This window comes from Homo sapiens, chromosome 3 (genome assembly GCF_000001405.40).
Source record: "Homo sapiens chromosome 3, GRCh38.p14 Primary Assembly".
Taxonomy (NCBI): Eukaryota; Metazoa; Chordata; class Mammalia; order Primates; family Hominidae; genus Homo; species Homo sapiens.
The window spans coordinates 101,458,411-101,479,588 of record NC_000003.12 but is presented as its reverse complement, the minus strand read 5'-3'; the positions used below and the strand labels follow the sequence as shown (position 1 = coordinate 101,479,588).

Here is a 21,178-nt window from a genome sequence, read left to right as displayed (position 1 = left end):
CACCCAAGCTGGAGTATAGTGGCATGATCATCTGCAAGTTCACTGCATCTTCCTGGGCACAAGGAAACCATCCTCCTGCCTCAGCCTCTCAAGTAGCTGGGACTACAGGCACGTGCCATCATGCCTGGCTAATTTTTATTGTTTAAAATTGTTTTGCAGAGGATGGTGTCTTGCCATGTTGCTCAGGCTGGTCTTGAATTCCTGCCTTGGCCTCCCAAAGTGCTGGAACAGCAGGCGTGAGCCACTGCACCCAGCTGAGATCTGAGTCTTTTTTGGTGAAGTTTTTAGGTTTTTCTAAATATAAGATCGTGTCTTCTGCAAAGAGGGATAATTTTACTTCCTCTTTTTCAATTTGGATGTCTTTTATTTTTTCTCTTGCCTGATTGCTCCGGCTAGGACTTCCATTACTATGTTGAATAAGCATGGTGAATATGTGCATCCTGTTTTGTTCCAGTTCTTAGAGGGAAGTCTTTTAGCTTTTCTTCATTCAGTGTGATGTTAGCTGTGGATTTGTAATATATGACCTTTATCCTGCTGAGGTATGTTCTTTTTATAGCTAGTTTCTTGAGCATTTTTATCATAAAGTGAGACATTATTTTATCAAATTTTTTTTTGCATCTGTTGAGGTGACTGCATGGTTTTTGTTTTTCATCCTGTTGATGTGATGTGTCATGTTTATTGATTTGCATATGTTGAACCATTCTTGCATCTCTGAATACAATCTCACTTAGATTATGGTGTATTATCTTTTTAAAGTGCTTTTGGATTCGGTATGCTATTAATAATATTTTGTTGAGGTATTTTGTGTCTGTTTTCATAAGGGATATTGGCTGGAAGTTTTCTTTTTTGTGTGCATTTCCTTGTCTTCTTTTGGTATAAGGGTAGGAATGACTTCGTAGAATGAGTTAGGAAGAATTCCATCATCTTCTATTGTTTGGAATAGTTTCAGAAGATTTGGTATTCTTCTTTGTAAGTTTGGTAGAAATTGGCAATGAAGCCATCAGGTCGTGGGCTTTTCTTTTTTGGGAGCCTTTTTATTATTCAACCTTTTAAAATTTTCTTTAGTGACAGGGTCTTGCTCTGTTGTCCAGGCTGTAGTACAGTGGCATGATCATTCTCCTTGTAGCCTAGCTTAGAATTCCTGGGCTCAAGTGATCCTCTCACCTCAGCCTCCTGAGCAGCTAGTATCACAGGTATGCACGACCATGGCTGGCTAATTAAAAATTTTTTTTTGGTAGAGGTGGGGTCTTGCTGTATTGCCTAGGCTGTTCTTAAACTCCTGGACTCAAGCAGTCCTCCCAACTTGGCCTTTCAAAGCGCTGGGATTGCAGGCATAAGCCACTGTGCTGGCCTACTCACTCAGTCTTGTTATTTGTTATTGGGTTGTTTAGGGTTTCTGTTTCTTTCTGGTTCAGTCTCGATAGGTTGTATGTGTCCAGAAATTTATCTATCTTTTTCTAAGTTTTTCAGTTTGTTAGCTCGTAGTTGTTCATAGTAGTCTCTGATAATCTTTTGTATTTCTCTGGTATCAATTGGAATGTCTCTTTTTTCATTTCTGATTTTGTTTATTAGGGTATGTGTGTGTGTTAGCCAGTCTAGCCAGTTGTTTATCAAGATTATCTTTAAAAAAAACAACGCTTTTTTTCATTGATTCTTTGTATTATATTTTTAGTCTTTCTGTTTTCTTTAGTTTTGCTCTGATGTTTATTTTTTTTTCTCTACTAACTTTTTTTTTTTTGAGATGGAGACTCACTCTGCCACCCAGGCTGGAGTGCAGTGGCGTGATCTTGGCTCACTGCAACCTCTACCTCCCAGGTTCAAGTGATTCTCCTGCCTCAGTCTCCCAAGTAGCTGGGATTACAGGCACCCACCACCACACTCAGCTAATTTTTGTATTTTTAATAGAGAGGGCGTGTCACCATGTTAACCAGGTTGGTCTCAAACTCCTGACCTCAAGTGATCCACCCACATCAGCCTCCCAAAGGGCTGGGATCACAGGCATGAGCTACCATGTCCGGCCATTTACTAATTTTGTTTTGGCTTGTTCTGACTTTTCTATTTTTTTCAGGTGCATTATTAGGTTTTTTTTACTTAAAATCTTTATACTTTTTTGTCATACGTATTTATTGCTATAAATTTCTCTCTTAATAGTGCTTTTGCAGTTACAGGTTTTAAATGCTGAATTTATATTTTTACTTGTTTCAAGATGTTTCTTGATTTCCCTCTTAATTTCTTCCCTGACTCTGGTCATTCAGAAGCATGTTGTTTAATTTCCATGTATTTGTATTGTTTCCAAAGTTCTTGTTATTGGTTTCTAATTTTTTTTTCCATTGTGGTCTGCAAAGGTACTCATATTATTTTGATTTTTAAAAATTTGGTGAGGTTTTAGGTAATACCATTCAGGGCATAGGCATGGGCAAAGACTTCATGACTAAAACACAAAAAGCTATTGCAACAAAAGCCAAAATTGACAAATGGGATCTAATTAAACTGAAGAGCTTCTGCACAGCAAAAGAAACTATCATCAGAGTGAATAGGCAACCTACAGAATGGGAGAAAATTTATGCAATCTATCCATCTGACAAAGGACTACTATCCAGAATCTACAAGGAACTTAAACAAATTTACAAGAAAAAAACAAATAACCCCATCAAAAAGTGGGCGAAGGATATGAACAGACACTTCTCAAAAGAAGACATTTATGCGGCCAACAAACATGAAAAAAAGCTCATCATCACTGGTCATTAGAGAAATGCAAATCAAAACCACAATGTGATACCATCTCATGCCATTTAGAATGGCAATCATTAAAAACTCAGGAAACAACAGATACTGGAGAGGTTGTAGAGAAATAGGAATGCTTTTACACTGTTGGTGGGAGTGTAAGTTAGTTTAACCCTTGTGGAAGACAGTGTGGCGATTCCTCAAGGATCTGGAACCAGAAATACCATTTGACCAAGCAATCCCATTACTGGGTATATATACCCAAAGGATTATAAATGGTTCTACTATAAAGATACATGCACATGTATGTTTATTGTGGCACCATTCACAATAGCAAAGACTTGGAACCAACCCAAATGCCCATCAATGATAGACTGGATTAAGAAAATGTGGCACATATACACCATAGAATTCTATGCAGCCATAAAAAGAATGAGTTCATGTCCTTTGCAGGGACATGGATGAAGCTGGAAACCATTATTTTCAGCAAACTAACACAGGAACAGAAAACCAGACACTGCATGTTCTCACTCATAAGTGGGAGTTGAACAATGAGAGCACATGGACACAGGGCGGGGAACATCACACACTGGGGCCTTTGGGGGATTGGGGGTAAGGGGAGGGATAGCATTAGGAGAAATACTTAATGTAGATGACGGGTTGATGGGTGCAGCAAACCACCATGGCACATGTATACTTATGTAACAAACCTGCATGTTCTACACATGTATCTCAGAACTTAAAGAATAATAATAATAAAAAAACTGGCAATGTTACCTTTGTGGCCTAACATATGGAGAATGTTCTTTGTGCTCGTGAGAAGAGTGTGTAATCTGTAGCTGGTGGATGAAATGTTCTGTAGATGTCTCTTAGGTCCATTTGGTCTATAGTGCAGAAATGTTCAATTTTTTTTGGTTTATTTTCCTTCTGCATGTTGAAAGTGGGATGTTTAATTCTCCAAGTATCATTGTATTGGGATTTATCTCTCTCTTTAGTTCTCATATTTGCTTTATTTATCTGAGTGCTCCTGTATTGGGTGTAAATATGTTTATAATTGTTATGTTCTCTTGCTGAATTTATCTCTTCATCAATATATGATGACCTTTTTGTTTCTTTTTATTTTTATTTCAAGTTTTGCAATATATTTTTTTCCTTCAATTTTATTTTAAGTTCCAGGGTATACGTGCAGGATGTGCAGATTTGTTAAATAGGTAAACGTGTGCCATGGTGTTTTGCTGCACAGATCAACCCTTCACCTAGGTATTAAGACCAGCATCCATTAGCTGTTCTTCCTGATGTTCTTTTTCCCTTCGTCCCCCTGACAGGCTCCAGTGTGTATTATTCCCCACCAGTGTGTTCTCATTGTTCAACTCCCACTTATGAGTGAGGACATGTGGTGTTTGTTTTTCTGTTCCTGCATTAGTTTGCTGAGGATAACGGCTTCCAGCTCCATCCATGTCCCTGCAAAGGACATGATCTTTTTCCTTTTTATGGCTGCATAGTATTCCCTGATGTACATGTACCACATTTTTTTAATCCAGTCTGTCATTGATGGGCATTTGGGATGATTCCGTGTCTTGGTTATTGTGAATAATGCTGCAGTGAACATATGTGTGCATGTATCTTTATAATAAAATGATTTATATTCCTTTGGGTGTATACCCAGTAATGGGATTGCTGGGTCAAATGGCATTTCTGCTTCTAGATCTTTGAGGAATCACCACACTGTCTTGTCTCTTTTTAAGTTTTTTTGGTAACTTAATGCCTATTTGTCTGATGTAAGTATGGCTACTCCTGCATACTTTTGGTTTCCATTTACATGGGATATATATATGTATCCATCACATCCCTTCACTTTCACTTCATGTGTGTCTTTATAGGTGAAGTGAGTTTCTTGTAGGCAGCATTCTGTTGGGTCTTGTGTTTTATCTATTCAGCCAGTCTAAATCTTCTAATTGTGGAGTTTAAACCAGTTACATTCAGGTTGTTATTGGTAGTGAAGACTTATTCCTCTCATATACCTCAAAATAATAAGAACCATGTATGACAAGCCCACAGCCAACATCATACTGAATGGGCAAAAGCTGGAAGTATTCCCCTTAAAAACTGCCAGAAGACCAGGATGCCCACTGTCATCACTCTTATTCAACATAGTATTGGAAGTCCTGGCCAGGACAGTCAGGTAAGAGAAAGAAATAAAGGGACCTAAATAGGAAGAGAAGAAGTCAAACTATTCCTATTTGCAGACAGCATGATCCTAGATCTAGAAAACCCCATATTCTCAGCCCAAAGGCTTCTTAAACTGATAAGCAACTTCAGCAAAGTCTCAGCATACAAAATCAGTGTCCAAAAATCACTAGCACTCCTATATACCAACAACAATCAAACTGAGAGCCAGACTAGGAACGAACTCATTCAGAACTGCCACAAAAAGAATAAAATACCTAGGAATACATCTAAGGAGGGAGGTGAAAGATCTCTTCAAGGAGAACTACAAAACACTGTTCAAAGAAATCAGAGATGACACAAGCACATTCCATGCTCATGGATAGGAACAATCAATATTTTTAAAATGGCCATACTGCCCAAAGCAATTTATAGATTTAATGCTATTCTTATGAAACTACCAATGACATTCTTTACAGAACTAGAGAAAACTATTTTAAAATTCATATGGAACCAAAAAAGAGCCTGAATGGTCAAGGCAATCCTAAGCAAAAAGAACAAAGCTGGAGGCATCATGCTATCCAACTTCAAGCTATGCTACAGGCACACTGACCAATGGAACAGAATAGAGAGCCCAGAAATAAGACTGCATACCTACAACTATCTGATCTTTGGCAAACCTGACAAAAACAAGCAATGGGGAAAGGATTCCTTATTCAATAAATGGTGCTGGGATAACTGGTTAGCCATATGCAGAAAATTAAAACTAGACCCCTTCCTTAGCCCATATACAAAAATTAGCTCGAGATGGATTAAAGACTTAAATGTAAAACCTCAAACTGAAAACTCTGGAAGACAGCCTAGGCAGTACCATTCAGGAGATAGGCACGTGCAAAGATTTCATGATAAAGATACCAAAAGCAATTGGGACAAAAGCAAAAATTGACAAATGGGATCTAACTAAACTAAAGAGCTTCTGCACACCAAAAGAAACTGTCAACAGAGTAAACAGACAGTGTACAGAATGGGAGAAAATTTTTGCAAACTATGCATCTGACAGAAGTCGAATATACTGCATCTATAATTAACTTAAACAAATTTACAAGCAAAAAACAACCCCATTATAAAGTGGGCCAAGGGGGGCATGAACAAGTGCTTTTCCAAAGAAGACGTACATGCAGCCAACAATCATATGAAAGAAAGCTCAACATCACTAATCATTAGAGAAATGCAAATCAAAACCACAGTGAGATACCATCTCACACTAGTCAAAATTGCTACTATTAAAAACTCCAAAAGTAACAGATGGTGGTGAGGTTGTGGAGAAAAAGGAATGGTTATAAAGTGTTGGTGGGAGTGTAAATTAGTTCACCCATTGTGGAAGACAATGTGGCCATTCCTCAAAGATGTAAAGACAGAAGTACCATTCACTCCAGCAGTCCCATTACTGGGTATTTACCCAAAGGAATATACATTGTTCTATTATAAAGACACATGCACACATATGTTTATTGCAGCAGTATTTATAATAGCAAAGACATGGAATCAATCTAAATGCCCAGTAATGTTTTACTGGATAAAGAAAATGTGGCACATATACACCATAAAATGAGATCATGTCTGTTGCAGGGACTTGAATGGAGCTGGAGGCCATTATCCTTAGCAAACTAATGGAGGACAGAAAACCAAACACTGCATGTTCTCACTTATAAGTGGGAGCTAAGTTATGAGAATACATGGACACAGAAGGGGACAACACATGCTAGAGCCTTTCAGAAGGTGGAGGGTGTGAGGAGGGGAGAGCATCAGGTAAAATAGCTAATGAGTACTAGGCCTAATATCTGGGTCATAAATATTCTGTATAACAACCCCCCATGACATAAGTTTACCTATGTAACAAACCTACACAGGTACCTCTGAAATTAAAAGTTTTAAAAAAAGGACTTACTCATTTTGTTAATGATTTTCTGACTGCTTTTATATCTCTATTTCTCTATTCTTTTATTGTTTACCTTTATGATTTGGTGGTTTTTAAAAAATTATTTTTTATTATACTTTAAGCTCTAGGGTACATGTGCATAATGTGCAGGTTTGATACATAGGTATACATGTGCCATGTTGGTTTGCTGCACCCATCAACTCATCATTTACATTAGGTATTTCTCCTAATGCTATCCCTCCCCCAGCTCCCCACCCCGCGACAGGTCCCAGTGTGTGATGTTCCCCGCCCTGTGTCCAAGTGATCTCATTGTTCAGTTCCCACCTACGAGTGAGAACATGCGGTGTTTGGTTTTCTGTCCTTGTGATAGTTTGCTGAGAATGATGGTTTCCAGCTTCATCCATGTCCCTGCAAAGAACATGAACTCATTTTTTTTAAGGCTGCATAGTATTCCATGGTGTATATGTGCCACATTTTCTTAATCCAGTCTATCATTGATGGACATTTGGGTTGGTTCCAAGTCTTTGCTATTGTGGATAGTGCTGCAATAAACATATGTGTGCGTGTGTCTTTATAGTAGCATGATTTATAATCCTTTGGGTGTATACCCAGTAATGGGATTGCTCAGTCAAATGGTAATTCCAGGTCTAGATCCTTGAGGATTCGCCACACTGTCTTCTACAATGGTTGAACTAATTTACATTCCCACCAACAGTGTAAAAGCATTCCTATTTCTCCACATTCTCTCCAGCATCTGTTGTTTGCTGACTTTTTAATGATTGCCATTGTAACTGGCGTGAGATGGTATCTCATTGTGGTTTTGATTTGCATTTCTCTGATGACCAGTGATGATGAGTGTTTTTTCATGTGTCTGTTGGCTGCATAGATGTCTTCTTTTGAGAAGTGTCTGTTCATATCCTTTGCCCACTTTTTGATGAGGGGGTTGTTTGTTTTTTTCTTGTAAATTTGAGTTCTTTGTAGATTCTGGATATTAGCCCTGTGTCAGATGGGTAGATTGTAAAAATTTTCTCCCATTCTGTAGGTTGCCTGTTCACGCTGATGGTAGTTTCTTTTGCCATGCAGAGGCTCTTTAGTTTAATTAGATCGCATTTGTCTATTTTGGCTTTTGTTGCCATTGCTTTTGGTGTTTTAGTGATGAAGTTCTTGCCTATGCCTATATCCTGAATGGTATTCCCTAGGTTTTCTTCTAGGGTTTTTATGGTTTTAGGTCTAACATTGAAGTCTTTAATCCGTCTTGAATTAATTTTTGTATAAGGTGTCAGGAAGGGATCCAGTTTCAGTTTTCTACATATGGCTAGCCAGTTTTCCCAGCACCATTTATTAAATAGGGAATCCTTTCCCCATTTCTTGTTTTTGTCATGTTTGTCAAAGATCAGATGATTGTAAATGTGTGGTGTTATTTCTGAGGCCTCTGTTCTGTTCCATTGGTCTATATCTCTGTTTTGGTACCAGTACCATGCTGTTTTGGTTACTGTAGCCTTGTAGTATAGTTTGAAGTCAGGTAGTGTGATGCCTCCAGCTTTGTTCTTTTTGCTTAGGATTGTCTTGGCAATGTGGGCTCTTTTTTGGTTCCGTATGAACTTTAAAGTAGTTTTTTCCAATTCTGTGAAGAAAGTCATTGGTAGCTTGATGGGGATGGCATTGAATCTATAAATTACTTTGAGCAGTATGGCCATTTTCATGCTATTGATTCTCCCTATCCATGAGCATGGAATATTCTTCCATTTGTTTGTGTCCTCTTTTATTTCATTGAGCAGTGGTTTGTAGTTCTCCTTGAAGAGGTCCTTCACATCCCTTGTAAGTTGGATTCCTAGGTATTTTATTCTCTTTGAAGCAATTGTGAATGGGAGTTCACTCATGATTTGGCTCTTTGTTTGTCTGTTAAGGGTGTATAAGAATGCTTGTGATTTTTGCACATTTATTTTGTATCCTGAGACTTTGCTGAAGTTGCTTCTCAGCTTAAGGAGATTTTGGGCTGAGACAATGGGGTTTTCTAAATACAGAATCATGTCATCTGCAAACAGGGACAATTTGACTTCCTCATTTCCTAATTGAATACTCTTTATTTCTTTCTCTTGCCCGATTGCCCTGGCCAGAACTTCCAATACTATGTTGAATAGGAGTGGTGAGAGAGGGCATGCCTGTCTTGTGCCCGTTTTCAAAGGGAATGCTTCCAGTTTTTGCCTATTCAGTATGATATTGGCTGTGGGTCTGTCATAGATAGCTCTTATTATTTTGAGATACGTTCCATTGATACCTCGTTTATTGAGAGTTTTTGGCATGAAGGTTTTTAATTTTGTCAAAGGCCTTTTCTGCATCTATTGAGATAATCGTGGTTTTTGTCATTGTTTCTGTTTACGTGATGCATTACGTTTATTGATTTGCATATGTTGAACCAGCTTTGCATGCCAGGGATGAAGCCGACTTGATTGTGGTGGATACGCTTTTTGATGTGCTGCTGGATTCGGTTTGCCGAATCTCCTTGTGTCTCTATCTCCTTCAGTTCTGCTCTGATCTTAGTTATTTCTTGCCTTCTGCTAGCTTTTGAATTTGTTTGCTCTTCCTTCTGTAGTTCTTTTAATTGTGATGTTAGTGTGTCGATTTTAGATCTTTCCTGCTTTCTCTTGTGGACATTTAGTGCTATAAATTTCCCTCTACACACTGCTTTAAATATGTCCCAGAGATTCTTGTATGTTGTGTCTTTGTTCTCATTGGTTTCAAAGAACATCTTTATTTCTGCCTTCATTTTGTTACTTACATAGTAGTCATTCAGGAGCAAGTTGTTCACTTTCCATGTAGTTGTGTGGTTTTGAATGAGTTTCTTAATTCTGACATCTAATTTGATTGCACTGTGGTCTGAGAGACAGTTTGTTGTGATTTCTGTTCTTTTTTTTTTTTTTTTTTTTTTGAGACGGAGTCTTGCTCTGTCGCCCAGGCCGGACTACGGACTGCAGTGGCGCAATCTCGGCTCACTGCAAGCTCCGCTTCCCAGGTTCACGCCATTCTCCTGCCTCAGCCTCCCGAGTAGCTGGGACTACAGGCGCCCGCCACCGCGCCCGGCTAATTTTTTGTATTTTTAGTAGAGACGGGGTTTCACCTTGTTAGCCAGGATGGTCTCGATCTCCTGACCTCATGATCCACCCGCCTCGGCCTCCCAAAGTGCTGGGATTACAGGCGTGAGCCATCGCGCCCGGCCGTGATATCTGTTCTTTTACATTTGCTGAGGAGTGCTTTACTTCGAATTATGTGGTCAATTTTAGAATAAGTGTGATGTGGTGCTGAGAAGAATGTATATTCTGTTGATTTGGGGTGGAAAGTTCTGTAGATGTCTATTAGGTCTGTTTGTTGCAGAGCTGAGTTCAAGTCCTGGATATCCTTATTAACCATCTGTCTCGTTTATCTGTGTAATATTGACAGTGGTGTGTTAAAGTCTCTCATTATTGTTGTGTGGGGGTGTAAGTCTCTTTGTAGGTCTCTAAGGACTTGCTTTATGAATCTGGGTGCTCCTGTATTCTCTAAGGACTTGCTTTATGAATCTGGGTGCTCCTTTATTGGGTGTGTATATATTTAGGATAGTTAGCTCTTCTTGTTGAATTGATCCCTTTACCATTATGTAATGGCCTTCTTTGTCTCTTGATCTTTGTTGGTTTAAAGTCTGTTTATCAGAGACTAGGATTGCAACCCCTGCTTTTTTTTTGCTTTCCATTTGCTTGGTAGATCTTCCTCCATCCCTTTATTTTGAGCCTAAGTGCGTCTTTGCATGTGAGATGGGTCTCCTGAATACAGCACACTAATGGGTCTTCCCATCAGTGACTCTATCCAATTTGCCAGTCTGTGTCTTTTAATTGGGGTATTTAGCCCATTTACATTTAAGGTTAATATTGTTAGTGTGAATTTGATCCTGTCATTATGATGTTCGCTGGTTATTTTGCCCGTTAATTTATGCAGTTTCTTCATAGCACTGGTGGTGTTTACAATTTGGCATGTTTTTGCAGTGGTTGGTACCGGTTGTTTCTTTCCATGTTTAGTGCTTCCTTCAGGAGCTCTTGTAAGGCAGGCCTGGTAGTGACGAAATCTCTCAGCATTTGCTTGTCTGTAAAGGATTTTATGTCTCCTTCACTTATGAAGCTTAGTTTGGCTGGATATTAAATTCTGGATTGAAAATTCTTTTCTTTAAGAATGTTGAATATTGGCCCCCACTCTCTTCTGGCTTATAGGGTTTCTTCCGAGAGATCCACCATTAGTTTGATGGGCTTCCCTTTGTGAGTAACTCGACCTTTCTCTCTGGCTGCCCTTAACACTTTTCCCTTCATTTCAGCCTTGGTGAATCTGACAATTATGCGTCTTGGGGTTGCTCTTCTCACAGAGTATCTTTGTGGTGTTCTCTGTATTTCCTGAATTTGAATGTTGGCCTGCCTTGCTAAGTTGGGGAAGTTCTCCTGGATAATATCCTGAGGAGTGTTTTCCAACTTGGTTACATTCTCTCCATCACTTTCAGGTACAGCAATCAAATGTAGATTTGGTCTTTTCACATAGTCCCATATTTCTTGGAGGCTTTGTTTGTTTCTTTTTACTCTTTTTTCTCTAACCTTGTCTTCTTGCTTTATTTCATTAATCTGATCTTCAATCACTGATACCCTTTCTTCCACTTGACTGAATTGTCTATCGAAGCTTGTGCATGTGTCACGAAGCTCTCGTGCCATGGTTTTCACCTCCATGAGGTCATTTAAAATCTTCTCTACACTCTTTATTCTAGTTAGCCATTTGTCTAATGTTTTTTCAAGGTTTTTAGCTTCCTTGCGATGGGTTCAAACATCCTTCTTTAGCTTGGAATAGTTTGTTATTACTGATCTTCTGAAGCCTATTTCTGTCAGCTCGTTAAAGTCATTCTCCATCCAGCTTTGTTCCGTTGCTGGTGAGGAGCTGTGATCCTTTGGAGGAGACGAGGTGCTCCGATTTTTAGAATTTTCAGCTTTTCTGCTCTAGTTTCTCCCCCTTTGTGGTTTTATCTACCTTTGGTCTTTGATGTTGGTGACCTACAGATGAGGTTTTGGTGTAGATGACCTTTTTGTTGATGTTGATGCTATTCCTCTCTGTTTGTTAGTTTTCCTTCTAACAGTCAGGTCCCTCAGCTGCAGGTCTGTTGGAGTTTGCTGGAGGTCCACTCCAGGCCCAGTTTGCCTGGGTATCACCAATGGAGGCTGCAGAACAGCAAATATTGCAGAAGAGCAAATATTGCTGCCTGATCCTTCCTCTGGAAGCTTCGTCCCAGAGGGGCAGCCACCTATATGAGGTGTCTGTCATCCCCTAATGGGAGGCGTCTCCCAGTTAGGCTACACTGGGGTCATTGACCCACTTGAGGAGGCAGTCTGTCTGTTCTCAAAGCTCAAACGCTGTGCTGGGAGAACCACTGCTCTCTTCAGAGCTGTCAGACAGGGACGTTTACATCTGCAGAAGTTGTCTGCTGCCTTTTGTTCAGCCATGCCCTGCCCGCAGAGGTGGAGTCTAGAGGCAGTAGGCCTTGTTGAACTGTGGTGGGCTCTGCCCTGTTCTAGCTGCCCGGCCACTTTGTTTACCTACTCAAGCCTCAGCAATGGCGGATGCCCCTCCCCCAGCCAGGCTGCCGTCTTGCAGTTTGATCTCAGAGTGCTGTGCTAGCAGTGAGCAAGGCTTTGTGGGCGTGGGACCTGCCGAGCCAGGCACGGGGAGAGAATCACCTTGTCTGCTGGTTGCTAAGACCTTGGGAAAAGTGCAGTATTTGGGCGGGACTGTCCCATTTTTCCACGTAGCCTGTCACAGCTTCCCTTGGCTAGGAAAGGGAAGTCCCCTGACTCCTTGCACTTCCCGGGTGAGGCGACTCCCCGCCCTGCTTCAGCTTGCCCTCTGTGAGCTGCACCTACTGTCCAGCCAGTCCCAGTGAGATGAACCAGGTACCGAAGTTGGAAATGCAGAAATCACCCATCTTCTGCGTCAATCATGCTGGGAGCCGCAGACTGGAGCTGTTCCTATTTAGCCATCTTGGAATGCCCGATTTTGTGGCTTTTTGTAGTGATAACATGTGACTCCATTCTCTGTCTTATTTGTGTGTCTGCTCTACTATTGAGTTTTATACTTTTGTGTGTTTCTTTGAGAGTTTTAAGACTCTATTAAGCATTTTTGTAGTGTAGTGTGATAAATTCCCTTAGCTTTTGCTTGTCTGGGAAAGATGTTATTTGTCCTTCATTTTTGAAGGATAGGTTTGTGGATCTGGTATTATTGACTGACATTTTATTTTCAGCACTTGTAATATATCATCATATGCCTGTAAGGTTTCTGCTGAGAAATTTGTTTTTAATCTTATGGGGATTTTCTTATGTGTGATTTGATATTTTTCTTGCTATTTTTAGAATTGTGTCTTTGACTTTTCACAGTTTGACTATGATATACCTTGTAGAAGCCTTTTATGGATTGAATCTATTTGAGGAATTTTGTACTCCTGTATCTTCATGTTTTTGTCTTTTGCAAGACTTGGGAAGTTTTCAGCTATTATTTTTTTCAAATGTTTTCTTCCATTTCTCTTTCTTCTGAAACTCCCATAATTTGAATATTTGGTCGCTTTATGGCATCTCATATGTTATGTAGGCTTTCTTCATTTTTTAAAGTTGTTTTTTACTGTTATGTCTGAATGGGTTATTTTTTTAAAAATCTGTTTTCAAGTTCAGAAATTCTTCTGCTTAATTTTGTCTATTGTTGAGGCTCTCAACTGTATTTTATATTTCATTGAAATCTTCAGTTGTAGGACGTTTTAAATGATATCAATCTTTGTTGAATTTCTAATCGAGATCATAAATTGTTTTCATAATTTTTTGGATTATTTACTTTTTAAAAAATATCTCACTTAGTTTCTTTTGTATCAGAATTTTGATTTTTTTTCCAGCATTCCATACATTTCCTTTTCTTATGGGTCTCTTATTGGAAAATTATTTTGTTTCTTTGGAGGTGTCTTGTTTCCTTGCTTTTTCATGTTTCTCATGTCTTTTTGTTAGTGTCTGTGTTTATTTCAACAGCTGTTTTCTTCCAATTTACCATTAACATTGGTAGGGAAAAACTTTTTCCTATAGATATATTTATAGTGCTGGTTCTGTGAAGTGGTTTGTCTGATTTTTACATAGACACAGTCATGTAATCTTTTATGATTTTTTGGATTGTAACTCATGTCAGCAGTGTCACAGTTCCTAAGTGATGCAGACTGCTTTTGTTAATGGCAGCCATGGTGAGGCTTTGCTGAGCATGAGGACTCCAGGTGGGCTGTTCCTTAAGCACCAGTAGTAATGGCAGTGGGCTAGGTGGACTTGTCATTAGTTGCCTGAGTGGTGTGTGTGGATGCCAGTATGGCTGGGTGTGTTGAGCCAATCCCCAGACCTCTAAATGATTTGTGTAGGCAATGGCAGTGGCAGCTATAGGTGGAGTTGGCTTGTCCTCAGGTTTTTGGAAGGCATGTGTCTGAGCCAGTGGCGGGGGTGAGGGGGGTGGATTGATCCCTAGGCCTCTGGAGGATGATGTGCACAGGTGCTGATGGTGGGCAGAGTGGGTCTCCCTTCATGCCCCCTCCACCCCCCTAATGGTGTGTGTGGGTCTTGGTAGCAGTAGGTGGGTAGGTTGTTCCCTAGGAACCCTGATGATGTACATTGGTGACATTGAGGAATGTGGATTGATTTTTGTTTCTCCGGATGACATGTGTGGGTGCCAGTAGTGGTGGGTGGGCCACTTTAAGTTTTTTGTTATAATGTATTTTCATTCTTTTTTAAATAAAGCATAACATTAAATTTACATAAGCATCTGTTTCCTTTCTGTTCTTCAGATTGAATATTTCTATTGGTCTATCTATTTCCAGATCCACTTACCCCTTTTTAGTCTCCTTTCTGCTTTTTAGGCCAGCGGTCCCCAACCTTTTTGGCATCAGGTTTCATGGAAGACAATTTTTCTATGGATCCAGGTAGTGGGGCAGGTGGGATGGTTTTGGAATGATTCAAGCATGTTACATTTATTGTGCACTTTATTTCTGTTATTATTACATTGTAGTATATAATTAAATAAATATACAACTTACCATAATGTAGAATCAGTGGGAGACCTGAGCTTGATTTCCTGCAACTAGATGATCCCATCTGGAGGTGATGGGAGACAGTAACAGATCATCAGTCATTAGATTCTCATAAGGAGCATGCAACCAGTATCACTCATATGCACAGTTCATAATAGGGTTTGTGCTTTGAGAATCTAATGCTGCCACTGACCTGACAGGTGGTGGAGCTCAGGTGGTAATGTGAGTAATGGGGAGTGGCTGTAAATACAGGTGAAGTTTCAGTTGCTCACTTGCCGCTCACCTCCTGCTGTGCGGCCTGGTTCCTAACAGGCCATGGACCAATACCAGTCCATGGCCTGGGGTTAGGGACTCCTGCTTTAGGCCATTCAGTGCTTTTTAAAATTTGGTCATGTTACTTTGTAGTTCTCAAATTGCCATTTGTTTCTTTTTTAATTTTGTTCCTCTGTTGAGATTTTCTGTCTTTTTACTTCTTTCAGAGAGTTCATCCTCTCAGAGAACAGTATAATAGCCACTTTAAAGCTTTTTCCTGGCTGGGTGTGGTGGCTCACACCTGTAATTCCAGCACTTTTGGAGGCTGAGTGGCTGGATCACCTGAAGTCATGAGTTGGAGACCAGCCTGGCCAACATGGTGAAACCCAGTCTCTACTAAAAATACAAAAAATTAGCTGGGCATGGTAGTGGGTGCCTGTAATCCCAACTACTTGGGAGGCTGAGGCAGGAGAAGTGCTTGAACCTGGGAGGCGGAGGTTGCAGTGAGCCGAGATCGCGCCACTGCACTCCAGGCTGGGCAACAAGAGTAAAACTCCATCTCAAATAAATAAATAAATGAATGAATAAATACGTAAATAAATAAATGAAGTTTTTTTCTGGTAATTTCAACATCTCTGTCTTCTTCTACTTGGCTGCTCTTGATACTCATCTTTTGTGAGTTGTTGAGATTTCCTAGGCTTTTTATATGCCAAGCAGTTTTTGGATTATATCCTGGACATTTTGAATATTAAGTTGCAGGTCTCTGGGTCTTGGTTAGATTGCAGGTTTGGTATTACTTTGAGTTCACCAATGTCATTCTTAGCATATACTCTTCAGGGTCCTAAGATAGCTTCTCCATGAAGTCTGTCTAGAATTCTTAGTTGCACTCAGTGGGAGAAGCAGAGAAGATTATTCTTATTCCATTTTATTTCAAGTAGAATTCTTGCTCATTTTTTAAATCTGAGTTTTTATTTTATATGTGTGTGTATATATATATATATATATGTATATATATATATATATATATATATATATATATTTATTTATTTATTTATGATACATGGTTTTGCTGTGTCACCGAGGCCTGACTGCAGTGGTACGATTATAGCTCACTGCAGCCTCAAACTCCTAGGCTCAAGTGATCCTCCTGCCTCAGCCTTCTGAGTAGCTGGGACTACAGACATGTGCCACGACCTTTATTGTAGACATAGGGTCTCACTGTATTTATCAGACTGGTCTCAAACTTCTGACGTCAAGTGATCTTCCTGCCTCAGCCTCCCAAAGTGTTGGGATTACAGGCATAAGCCACTGTACCTGGCTCAAGTCTGAGTTTTTAGTCTTTGTTATTGATGTGTAGAAATTCTTTGTATAATAAGGATATGAGTCTGTTGTCAGTATGTGTATTGCAAATACTTTCAATCTGTAGCTGTTTTATTTCTTAATTGTATGTCTTTTGATGAGCAGAAATATTTGATTTTGATGAATGTAGTTTATCAGTCTTTTCCTTTATTCTTAGTGGTTTCTTCTTTTTTTTTTTAGACAGAGTCTCGCTCTTTTGCCCAGACTGGAGTGCAGTGGCATGATCTCGGCTCACTGCAACCTCTGCCTCCTGGGTTCCAGCGATTCTCATGCCTCAGCCTCCCCAGTAGCTGGGACTACAGGCATGCACCACCACGCCCAGCTAATTTTTGTATTTTTAGTAGAGACAGGGTTTCATCGTGTTGCCCAGGCTGGTCTCGAACTCCTGGCCTCTAGCGATCCATCCACCTTGGCCTCCCAAAGTGCTGGGATTACAGATGTGAGCCACTGCACCTGGTCTCTTTATTCTTAGTGTTTCTTTTCTTTCTTTCTTTTTTTTTTTTGAGACAGAGTTTCACTCTTGTTGCCCAGGCTGGAGTGTAATGGCGCGATCTCGGCTCACCCCAGCCTCCACCTCCTGGGTTCAAGTGATTCTTCTGCCTCAGCCTCCCGAGTAGCTGGGATTATAGGCATGTGCCACCACGCCTGGCTAATTTTGTATTTTTAGTAGAGACGGGGTTTCTCCATGTTGGTCAGGCTGGTCTCAAACTCATGACCTGAGGTGATCTGCCAGCCTCAGCCTCTCCAAGTGCTGGGATTACAGGTGTGAGCCACTGTATTCTTAGTGGTTTCTTAATGCTGTATTTCTTACTGGAGATTTAGTCATATGCTTTTTTGCTATTGTTGTGACAAAATACATACAACACAAAATTTACCATGTTAGCCGTTTTATGGCATTCAATTTAGTGGCATTTAGTTCACTCACAGTGTTGTGCAACCACTTTCTCTGTCTAGTTTCAGAACTTTTTCATTACCCCAAATGGAAACTCTTTAACCATTAAGCATTCACTTCTTAATTTATCTCTCTATTCTGCCAACTTCCCAGCCCCTGGAAATTACTACTTTGTTTTCTGTTGCCTGGATTTTCCTGTTCTAGATATTTCACAAAAACAGAATCACTCAATATATGATCTTTTGTGTCTATGGCTTCTTTCACTTAGCACAAATGCTTTCAAAGTTCATCCATGTTATAGTATGTGGTAGTAGTTTAGTTCTTTTTATGGTCTAATAATATTCCATTGTATGGATATATCACATTTGTTTATCTGTTCATCTGTTTGTATTGTTTTCACCTTTTTTTCTGTTATTGAATAATGCTTCTATGAACTACAAGCATCTGTTCGAAAACCTGTTTTCCATTCTTTTGTTTTATACTTAGGGTGAGAATTGCTGTGTCATGTGGTAATTTTATGTTTAAGTTATCGAGGAACTGCAATACTGTTTTTTTTTTTCTTACGGTACCTGTACCATTTACATTCCCACTAGCAATGTATGAAGGTTCCATGTTCTTCATATACTCAGCAACACTTAATTTTTTTTCTCTCTTGCTCTTTTACTTCGTTTTCCTTCTCCTCTCTTCCTTCATTCTTCATCCTAGTGGGTACGAAATGGTATGTCACTGTGGTTTTGACTTGCATTTTTTTGTGTTTCCATATAAATTTTAGGGGTATTTTTCCTTCTTCTGGGAAGAATGTTATTGATATTTTTATAGGGATTTTGGTGAATCTATAGATTTCTTCATTTGGTGTGGACATTTTAACAACATTGATTCTTTTTTCATTTTTCTTTTTTTGTTCTTGAAGGAGATAAACAATATTGATTCAAACCATGACCGTGGAGTTATCTTTCCATTATTTTGACATTCTCCAGTTTCTTTCATCAATGTTTTATGGTTTTCATTGTGGAGATCTTTCACTTCTTTGGTTTGGATTTGCATTTCCTAATGACTAATGACACTGAGTGTCTTCTAATGTGCTTTTTGTCATTTGTGTAGTTTTTTGGAGAAATATCTATTCACATTCTTTGCCCATTAAAAACTATTTTTGTCTTTATCTTACTGAATTGTAAGAGTTTTTTTTTTTAAATTTTGAATACTATACCTTTTTTTCTTTTAAGAGATGGGGTCTTACTATGTTGCCCAGGCTGACCTGAAACTCTTGGCCTCAAGCAATCCTCCTGCCTTGGCCTTCCAGAGTGCTGGGATTACAGGTGTGAGCCATTGTGGTTGACCTGGATACTATACTTTTATCAGTTATATTATTTGCAAATATTTCCTCCCATTTGGTGGGTTGGTTGCCTTTTCACTATTCCAGTAATGAATAAAAGTTTCAAATTTTGCTGATGTCCACTTTATCATTTTTCTCTTGTTACTTGTGGTTTTTTGGTCATATCTGTGAAGTCATTGCCAAATACAAGTCATGAAAATGTACTGCTGTGTTTTTTTTTCTAAGAGTTTCATAATTTTAGCTCTTGTATAATGTTTAGGTCTTCTCTCCATTTGAATTCATTTTTGAATATGATGTGAAGCAAGTGTGCAAGTTCCTGCTTTTGCATGTGGCGGTTCAGTTGTTCTAGAACTATTTGTTGAAAGTTTATTTTTCTCTCATGAATGGTTTTGGCATCCTTGCTGAAAATCAATTATTGGTCCTAGATATATGGGTTTATTTCTAGACTTTCAATTCTGTCCCATAAATCTGTATGTTTACCCGTTGCCAACATTATTTTGATTACTCTAGCTTCATAGTAAATTTTGAAACTGAAATGTGAGTCCTCTAATTTTGCTCTCCTTCTTCAAGATTGTTTTGGTTCTTCTGAGCCTCTAGCAATTAATCATCAGATCAGTTTGTCCATTTCTGCAAAACAGGCTGTTGGAATTTTGGTAGGGAGTGAATGGAATCTGGAGGTCATTTTGGGGAGTAATGCCCAACTGCTAACCAAAATAGTTGATATAGTTAATAAAGTCTTTCAGTCCTTGATTAGGGGATGTCTTTTCATTTATTTAGGGTTTCTTTAATTTCTTACAGCATGTTTTGATATTTTCAGCAGAAAAGTCTTACATTGCCTTGACTAAATTTATTATTGAGTATTTTATTCTTTTTGATATGCTATTGTAAGTGGAATTTTTTTTCTTAATTTCTCTTTCAGATTTCTCATTGCTATTAAATAGAAATACAACTGATTTTGGCCTTTCGATCTTATATCCTGCAAGTTTTCTGAATTAGTCGAGCAACCTTAACATTTTCTTTTTGGTGGATTCTTCCCTCTTTTGGTTATTGCGAATCGTGGACTACAAACATGATTGTACAAATATCTCTTTTATGAAGACAGTCTTGTAAATTTACTACAAATGTCTGTTCTGTGATGTGGAAGTAAAACCAAAACTTAATACAGATGTAATCATTGTATATCTTTGTGAGGTAGCTACTGTTACTATATCCCTTTTCAGATAAAGAAACTAAGGCATAGAGAATATAAATGACTTATTTGCCTAGGCTAACACTGTGTATTAAATAAATTAATTTGAACCTTTTATTCTAGTCATATTTAATCTAAACTCTGTCAATAAGGTGTCCGGCTCTTTCCTAAAATTTTCCACATGGCAGTTCCTAGGTAACTAATTTTAATATCTTTCAATTGTTATAAGTACAGTTACTTTAGAATCATAGGCCCTATTTAACCTTCTATGTAATAATTTTTATTCCTTTAAGTACATTCCAGATTTTAATAGCTGTTTAAGCTTTGGAATCTCAAAGTGTTGATTTTTTGATTAAAGTTACCTTGGTACTTTAAAATGTCTTCCTAGTATTTTTTGGTGGACTTACATTTATGCATTAGTAAAAGAGCCAGATATTCCATAGATTGCACTTATTATTTTTCTCTGTGAACTATGTATTTGATCGTTTATAACAAATTTCCAAATAAAAAAGAACAGTTTAAATGCCTCTTGTCATATTGATATGTTTATTATTAAAATTTCATTTTTTTTTTCCTAGTGGGAAAGAAGCCTAAGGAATAAAGTCATCTCTCTAGACCATAAAAATAAAAAACATATCCGAGGGTGTCCTGTTACTTCCAAGTCATCACCAGAAAGGTAAGATATGTGTGTGTGCGACATAGTATGGGCTTAACCTATAAAGTTGACCATAAATGATTCATTTAAGCTTGTTGGTTCTCAATTATGACCACATGTTTAAAATAGAAGGTTTGAATTCAGTGGACTCTAAGATTCTTTCAGTCTCTAACTTTCTGTGATTTTAAGTATCTTAACTCCCTTGTTTTTGTGCATTTGGAACATCTTGATAAGCTTTCGCTGATAATGCAAGAGTTATACATAGACTGATAATGATGATTGAATCATTGTTTGCGATCAGCAGTGAGAAAGGGTGTTCCATTTCTGCTGCTTCTTCTTTTTTATTTTTTAAAGGCTAGTCAAATGAAGCAGTGGGAGTGGGGCAGAAACAGACATCTGCAACTTGTAATCAACTGGTTGTAAACACCTCTGTACTTGGGCCAGCCAAAAATGCTCTGTTTAGCAACTATGGTCCTATAGTCATAGTGTTAAATTATTTGTATAGGGGAATTAAATATCTGGAGGATTCAAATTACAGTTGTTACTGGAAATAATTTAGAGCATT

At 38.7% G+C, this 21,178-nt stretch overlaps 1 protein-coding gene across 18 annotated transcripts in view, besides 2 other annotated features; it reads left to right on the top strand.

Moving 5' to 3' along the window:
- The window catches only part of SENP7 (SUMO specific peptidase 7), a 189,008-nt gene that overhangs the window by 33,624 nt on the left and 134,206 nt on the right, over window positions 1-21,178 (top strand). For all 18 annotated transcript variants that reach the window (XR_007095714.1, XR_007095713.1, NM_001282803.2 and 15 more), the window contains one exon: window positions 20,537-20,634. Coding sequence is in view for 16 of the 18 variants with exons in the window: in NM_001282803.2 (NP_001269732.1) it covers window positions 20,537-20,634 (98 nt within the window). In the remaining 2 variants the exon portion in view is untranslated. The remainder of the gene's footprint in view (window positions 1-20,536; window positions 20,635-21,178) is intronic.
- Window positions 11,947-12,493: an enhancer, noted in NCBI's record as "H3K27ac-H3K4me1 hESC enhancer chr3:101185940-101186486 (GRCh37/hg19 assembly coordinates)". NCBI's record gives its function as "activates a minimal SCP1, AML or CMV promoter by ChIP-STARR-seq in naive H9 embryonic stem cells {active_cell/tissue: H9 hESC(naive)}" and the evidence as "EXISTENCE:reporter gene assay evidence [ECO:0000049][PMID:30033119]".
- Window positions 12,494-13,041: an enhancer, noted in NCBI's record as "H3K27ac-H3K4me1 hESC enhancer chr3:101185392-101185939 (GRCh37/hg19 assembly coordinates)". NCBI's record gives its function as "activates a minimal SCP1, AML or CMV promoter by ChIP-STARR-seq in naive H9 embryonic stem cells {active_cell/tissue: H9 hESC(naive)}" and the evidence as "EXISTENCE:reporter gene assay evidence [ECO:0000049][PMID:30033119]".